Source organism: Homo sapiens, chromosome 10, assembly GCF_000001405.40.
Source record: "Homo sapiens chromosome 10, GRCh38.p14 Primary Assembly".
Lineage (NCBI taxonomy): Eukaryota > Metazoa > Chordata > Mammalia > Primates > Hominidae > Homo > Homo sapiens.
In genome coordinates this window covers 29,228,637-29,236,597 of record NC_000010.11, presented here as the reverse complement: position 1 = coordinate 29,236,597, position 7,961 = coordinate 29,228,637, and the positions used below count along the sequence as shown (strand labels likewise).

Below are 7,961 nucleotides of genomic sequence, written 5' to 3'. Positions count from 1 at the left end.
TTGGACCTTTTGCTGACTCTAGGCCCCATAATTAGTTTTCCTCCTTGTTGGCTTTGATACTGATGAAGTCAGCAACATAAAGGTGCATTCAAAAAGCAAAACAAAATTGAAAAGGAAATACCACAGAAGTTACAACATGTATCCTAAGATCTCAAAAACTTAGTCTAAAATGGTCTTGGTTAGTGTGGCTTACTGGTCACATAAACCCAAGGTTCTTTTTTCAATTTTCTCAACTGCATTTTGGGTTTAAGGCTGGACCCAACAACTGAGACTCCAGGGTGGAGACAAATTGGCAACATTGGTAAGTCAGCTGAGAATATGCCTCCACTGTCAGAATCTGAGGAAACATCGCATGTAAGGGAAGGATCATGAGTTTTTGGTGCCAGACAAATCTGCTTTCAAATCCTCACTCTGCTGCTTATTAGCCACGTGACTTTGGACAAATTACTTACGTCTCCTGGATTCAGATCCCTACTCAGTGAATGAGAGGTGTTAGAGTTTAGTTAGTGGTCAAGAGCTCAGGTTCTCAGGTTGGACTTGGGTTGCGGTTCTGACTTCTTCACCTAGAGCTGTGTGACCTCTAAGGCTTCAGTTTTCTCTCCTGTTGAATGGGCACAACTGTCCTCATCCCATTGGATTGTTGCTGGGCTCAATGAGATTGCATATGGAAAGTACACGCATAGCTCCAGGCATACGAAAGGGGCACAGCAGACATTAGCTTTTATTATACATCAATAACACTTCTTTTTTTTTTTTTTTTTTCTTTTTGACAGAGTTTTGCTCTGTCGCCCAGGTTGGAGTGCAATGGTATGTTCTCAGCTCACCACAACCTCTGCCTCCTGGGTTCAAGCGATTCTCCTGCTCAGTCTCCCAAGTAGCTGGGATTACAGGCATACACCACCACGCGCAGCTCATTTTTGTATTTTTAATAGAGACAGGGTTTCACCATGTTGGCCAGACTGGTCTCGAGGTCTCGAACTCTCGACCTCAGGTGATCCTCATGCCTCGGCCTCCCAAAGTGTTGGGATTATAGGCGTGAGCCACCGCGCCCAGCCAATAACACTTCTTATATATAACAAGTGCTCATGAAATGTAGTCCCTTCTGCCTCCTATCCACACTCTGCCCCAGCATGATGACCTTTGGTTCCAGGTCACACAAAAGAGTCTTCTGTTCTGCTCCTCATGTTATCACTGCGTACTCTTCCTACTTTCTCACTCAACAACTCAGGACTGGCCTACGAACTAAACACCTGGAAGGAATGGACATCAGTGATGATCTGCCAGCATGAGGAAACCAAAGCTCTGGGAACGGACAGTTGACCATCTAGAGTTGAGCAACCAGCAAGTTGTAGCATCCCGGCCTGTATCCAGGTTTAGCCAGCGACTCCCTCCTGCAGGCTGGGAAGTCTTGAAGGAATTGTGTCATGCTACTGTTGTGAAAACAAACAAATCAAAAAAATAAATAAATAAATAAATAAAGGCTTGTTATGGAATCTAAAGATAAATAGCTGGAATCATTTATTTATTATAAAATAACTAGGCCCACATGCTAAGAGTTATTTTCAAGATTCTGAAATTAGGCAAGACTTAGTAATATATCTCCTTCATTATCAACATCAATGGAAGGTTTATTATTTTAAATTAAGTTTTGTTTTGCTTTGAAAGTACTGTCTGGCATGCCCAGAATATTTATGCCAGTAAACCCTGTGTTTCTATGCATGATGAAGAGGGTTTGTGTTAAGTATCTTTGGGAACCAACCTCCACCCTGACGAGTGAGACCTGAATGAACAGGGAACTGGTCAACCTGTTCAGCAGTGGTGGTTTTTTTTTTTTTTCCCCTGAGACAGTTTTGCTCGGTCACCCAGGCTGGAGCACAATGGCACGATCTCAGCTCACTGCAACCTCCACCTCCCGAGTTCAAGCCATTCTCCTGCCTCAGCCTCCCAAGTAGCTGGGATTACAGGTGATTGCTACCATGCCTGGGTAATTTTTGTATTTTTAGTAGAGATGGGGTTTCATCATATTGGCCAGGCTGGTCTTGAACTCCTGATCTCGTGATCCACCTGCCTCAGCCTCCCAAAGTGCTGGGATTACAGGCGTGAGCCACCGTGCCCAGCCCACCAGTGTTTTTTATGGGCTCTCTAAACTTGAGTGGAGCTCAGCTTTTCAGGTAGTGTTCTGGGCTGCTCTATGACCTTGTTATCACAGGGGTGCCGTATGACCTCCAAGGTAGGCACCACCATTTCTGGAACTTGGATTCCTCATAACCTCTTCAAGATGAAGCCAGAGACATTTACACTTCTTCTCTTTCAGAATATTTTCTTTTTTTTCTTCTTCTTCTTTTTTTTTTTTTGAGATGGAGTCTTGCTCTTATCACCCAGGCTGGAGTGCAGTGGTGCAATCTGGGCTTACTGCAACCTCTGCCTCCTGGGTTAAAGTGATTCTCCTGCCTCAGCCTCCCAAGAAGCTGGGACTACAGGTGCATACCACCACGCCCAGCTAATTTTTTTGTATTTTTAGTACAGATGGGGTTTCACCATGTTGGCCAGGCTGTACTTGAGCTCCTGATCTCAGGTGATCCACCTGCCTTGGCCTCCCAAAGTGCCGGGATTACAGGCGTGAGCCACTGTGCCCGCCCTCAGAACATGTTCTTGATATTGAACTGCTCAGTGTTGGAAGGCAGCAGTGTTGGGATCTCAGTTGCTGGAATTTCTGAGCAAGCAGGATGAGGACAAGATTCTCCTGCTTCCTGCTCTCTCTCTGGGGTCTCAGGGAGGTGCTCTGTCATGGGACCTTGCAAAGTTCTGCTATGAAAGGTTGGTGCTTTGTTTCCCCAAGTGAGAAATCATATATGCTCTTGATAAAATATTCAGACAGTATGAAAAGATATTTTTTTAAAAATCTAACATTCTAATATCTAACATTCTACTTCCTGGTGATAACAACTGTTAATATTTTGAATATCCTTATGGACTTTTAAAATGCATACACACACAATTTAACAAAATTGAAGCTTTGCTGTTCATCCTGTTTTGTAATAATTTTTTTCTCCTGTACCATGGGGGCCTTTACATAACAATATCATTACTTTTAATGACTGCCTGGAATTTCTTTGTTCTCTTTTTTGACAGATACCATTTTTAGGATGCTTCTAAATTTTTTGTTTTAATAAATAATGCTGTGTTGAATATTCTTCTACATACATTCCAATAATTTCTCTCGGGTCAAAGGGCAGCACATTTAAACTTTGTATACATTGCCAAATTACCCTCTGGAATGGTTCTAGAAATTTCTATTCTCACCAACAATTCATGAAAATCACAATCATAGGATATTTTTTCTAATTACATTATAATAGGGTAAAAGAAGCAGGTGATATCCACCAACAGAGAAAGGAAGCTCCTTCTCCAGCCCCCTAATTCTTCATCGGAGCCTTCCTTGAACCCCACCTCCAACTGAAAATCTCTCGTGACTTGGTGGAATCGAGATTTTTTTAAAAATTATCATAACATGAGCAAAAAATGCAAACCTTCTTAACATGATGGAAAAAAAAAACAGGAAAACCCTATTAGTGTATTAAAAGAAAAACAGAAAAGGATGGGAGAGATTTTATCCAAGTGATAACTCTCTTTGCTTTGTTTTGAAATTTGGTTCTCTAAAGGCAGGACCATATCATGACACTAACATATATGTTTAATTATTTTACATGTCCTATCTTGGAAGTTCTGTTTAATATTGTAATAATCCAGCCAGCTTTACAGAATGTGATTTTCTGATGCACCACAAACATTTGGCCTTATGGACCATACCAGAGAATTCCTTTGAGAATTTTATCTTTTTCATTATTTTTAATTTTTAATTTATTTTTAGAGTCAGGGCCTTGCTCTGTTGCCCACGCTGGCATGCAGTGGTGCAATCACAGCTCTCTGCAGCCTTGACCTCCTGGGCTTAAGTGATCCTCCCACCTGAGCCTCCTGAGTAGCTGGGACTTACAGGTGTGCAGCCACCGTGTCTGCTTAATTTTAGTATTATTTTTTAGAGACGGGGTCTCGCTATGTTGCCCAGACTGGTCTTGAAATCCTGGGCTCAAGCAATCCTCCCACCTTAGCCTCCTGAGTAACTAGGACTACACGCATGCACCACTGTGCCAGTTAATTTTTTTTATTTTTCGTAGAGATGGGGTTTGAATTCCTGGGCTCAAGCAATCCTTTTGTCTCAGCCTCCCAAAGCACTGGGATTACAGGTGAGAGCTACTGTACCTGGTCTTTGAGAATTTAAAAAATGATCAGAAAAATTAGGATTCCAGAAATAGAAGGATTCAATGAATAGAAAAGGAAAATAGTAATAAAAAAGTTTCTTTTCTTAAAAGTGGTTAGGTCTATTTTTATTATTTGCCTATAAGCACAGGATGTTTTCGATAATAGGAATAAAAATGGTATCTGAGATTTTGCTACCATTTTAATTTTCCCAAACCATGTGCACACAGACTCAAGAAGAATATGAAAGGGCAATATCCCAGAATGGCTCTTCACATTTAGATAAGAAAAAAATGCCATTTATGTGATAAAGGACTTGAGACTTCCTTTTAGGGGCAAAGCTGCTGGACTTCGTGGGACCTTTCAGAGCCTAAGCACACCCAAAGATAGTGGCAATACTTTTTGCTCTTCTAGAAGTGCCATGAAGAGAATGGGGAGGTGTTTCCCCACTGATGAAAGGTTCTTCAGATTGCACAGAAGGACCCCATTATAGGGCAGCTTGCTGTTCCTTGAACGCAGATACGTCTTGGGTTTAATCATGGTCCCTGAATACCAACACCCATGCTAAATACCTGATATATCAGGTGTTTAGGGCAACTGCATGAAGATGATAGTCTGTTCTTCCAATGACAGAAATGAGAGAGAAATTCTAATGTACCTTCTGTCCTTATCAGTACAGGTCTGTGGCCATTTAGATGTTTTCAATAGTTAATTCTTTCCCTTTGCATCTCTATGTCTGCCTTTCTTTGGTATAGGTGAGACTATCACACTCATCAGAGGCTCCCCTAGTCTTCAAGTCAGGTCATGTGGTGCTAGATACCCACTCCCTCTTGTTACTTCCTGCCCTCACTGATGCCCCTCGATCCCTTCACCTCACCAGCCATTGCTACCTCCCCGTCTGATTTCCAGGAGCAAATTTCAGAGATCTGTAGCAAGCTCAGAGAAACCCCTCCATGCCCACTTTAAGAAACATTTATTAAATTCTCACCATTTGCCAGGCACTGTGTGGGGCTCTGGGGAATCTCTTTTTCTGAAGACAACGTGTAACTGGGGAGATAAGCACATATGCAGATAATCGTCATGTAATTACAAGAAGACGTGCACCAACATATCTGGCTTTTGCCATAAGGGTGCTAGAATCCCAATAATTGTTTGTTTCAGCTTTTCCTGATTGGAAAAATGATGCTGTATGTCCCTACAAAACTAGCTGCAGAGCTTGAACTACATCCTGCTGATGTAGGAGGTCAGAGTTCAGTGACTGATCGCTCTGGTGATGTGTAATGGATGGACTTGACAAGGACAAAATTGGGTCCAAGAAGATGTGTGAGAAGCCCGTTGCACTCATCTTCTTGGAAGCTGATATGCACCTAAGCTAGGGTATTTGTTGACAGCAGGGGAAGGGGACTTAAGATCTATTAAGGAGGTGTATCCAAGCACTTGCAAGTGCAATGACGGGTGGAGTGTACCTGCAACCAGGTAATGCAACTGGGTATCATAACCCAGACCCTTGAGACAGAAAATATAGAAGGAACACCAATCACAGGGAATTGAGGGACTTGCTGAAATGAAAATATCACATAGTGGTTGTATACATCAGTCAGAAACTTAGGGGCTGAGATGGAAATGGAATTACTCACCCTTTATATGTGAATGACTCCCCCATCGATGAGATTAGGTGAGCTCAGCCAAGGGAAGTATACCATAAAGAAGGGACAAGAACCTGACCCCAGAGAAGACCAGCATTTAATGGGATAGTGGAGAAAGAGGAGCCCACAGAGGAAGAGGAGAAGAAACGGAGCTCAGAAAGGTGCAGGGCTCCAGAAGGATCTAAGAGTCTCCAGGAGCAGGAAGTGGCCACCATGTCAAATGAGGCAGCTATTCAGTAACACAAGGATTATGATGAAGTGCGCTAATGTCCTTAGGAAAAGGCGTAGCCTGTGGAGATAGGAGGCAGAGGGGGTTCGGGGGGAAGAGTGGCTGAGTGGGGTTCAGACGGGAAGAGTGGTTGAGTAATGAGGGAGAAAAGCTGAAAGAGCGACCGGCAGTTCAGAATTTCTTGACATTTGGATGAGAAGGGGGTTGTCATCAAGAAAGGGTAGTAAAGTCAGGGAACTTATTTTTATTTTTATTTTTTTAGAGAATCAAATGGGAACTATTTGAAGAATTTTATAAGCCGAGGGGAAACCAGAGGAGGTTGGAAAGACGGGGAGAAAAGGAGCAATGGAAAATTTGGAGAGAGGAGGGTTGAGCCAGTCCAGGAGGAAGGCTGGGTGCAGGGCCAGGGGGTTGTTCAGCTTCATTCTCTGATATGGAAGTAGGAAAGGTGTGGATGTGGGTGGGTTTGTAAGCAAAGGGCCAGGAGCCAAGGCAGCTCACAGCCAGAGGCCTCGGTTTCCCCCACAAGCACGAAGCCAAGGCCTTGGATGAGAGCGACGGGCCTGAGGGTGTGTTGTTCTACTCAGAGGTGGGGACATGTGGGATCTTGATTTAGAGCTTGGTTCCACTCTACTGTGGAAATGAATTTCACCTCCAGAAAACTTGGGAAGACGTGGCGTAGTACCGGAGAGAACTGGGAACAGCTCCACGGCCGCAATAGGCAGCAGTACATGCGCTGAGACGCAGAGCAGGTGCCTGTGGTTAGCTGACCTCCCAGAGTCTCCTCCCCAAGCCGTCAGCCGAACCCCCACAGCCTCCTCCCCACATGGTCAGCCGACCTCCCACAGCCTCCTCCCCATGCAGTCAGCTGACCTCCAAGAGCCTCCTCCCAACATGGTCGGCCGACCTGCCAGAGCCTCCTCCCCAGGGGATCAGCCAACCTCCCACAGCCTCCTCTCCAGGCGGTCAGCCGACCAGAGAGCCTTCTCCCTACGCCGTCAGCCGATCTCCGAGAGCCTCCTCTCCACGTGGTCAACTGACCTCCCAGAGCCTGCTCCCCAGACAGTCAGCTGACCTCTCAGAGCCTCCTCTCCACGTGGTCAGCTGACCTCCTAAGGCGACTCCCCCTAGTGCAGCAGAAGGAAGGTGTCTCTACCCCTGCCCCAAGGCCCGGGTATTTGTGAACAAACACATCAAAAGGCTAGAGGAGCAGAGAAATTTAGAATCCTTGCCCATACCTGTATGTCAAGCAGAGTAGAGGGACAAAGCATGATGAAGACTGTCCTTGCCACTAAGACCCCTCATTACAAAGTCATGGGGCAAGTGGGTATAAATAATCAGGAAGTCAATGTTATTGTTTAGTTTTGTTTGTGCTAGTCAGGCAGAGTTAAAATCATTTTCATAGCATGTTGGAATTAGAGGGTGGAAAGGAAACTAAGAATGCTGCCCTCTACCCTCTTAAGGATCTGCATTAAAGGCCATTCCGTGCCCTCCTTTGTAATGCATTCTAGTGTCTCACAATCCTCAAGGAATTTTCATCTTCATGTCAGACTTCAAAAGAACAATGTTGAAAAATTATATTATAGAGTTCAAAAAGAAAATGAGAAAGAGAAGGATTCATTTCTTTTTTCGCTGCTTCAGAATTCTCCCTGCGCTTCCAATTGGTCATGCTTTTCTCCACTGCCTGGAGGCACGTCAGAAAACCATTAAGCAGTTTTGATGTGCTCAGTTAAATGTCTATTGTGTTTCTCCCCAAACGCAGCTACATTTTAGAGGCTAGCATAGTTAGCTTTCTTTCCGGGTATGCATGTCTTTGCACACAAATCTAC

At 44.2% G+C, this 7,961-nt stretch overlaps 1 long non-coding RNA gene across 1 annotated transcript; it reads right to left on the bottom strand.

Moving 5' to 3' along the window:
- Window positions 1-696: 696 nt before the first annotated feature.
- LOC105376472 (uncharacterized) lies at window positions 697-7,165 on the bottom strand. The gene is made up of 3 exons (XR_930785.3): window positions 7,006-7,165; window positions 5,246-5,304; window positions 697-1,430 (listed from the first exon to the last, which is right to left on the bottom strand). It is a non-coding gene; the product is annotated as an uncharacterized LOC105376472 (long non-coding RNA).
- Window positions 7,166-7,961: the final 796 nt, after the last annotated feature.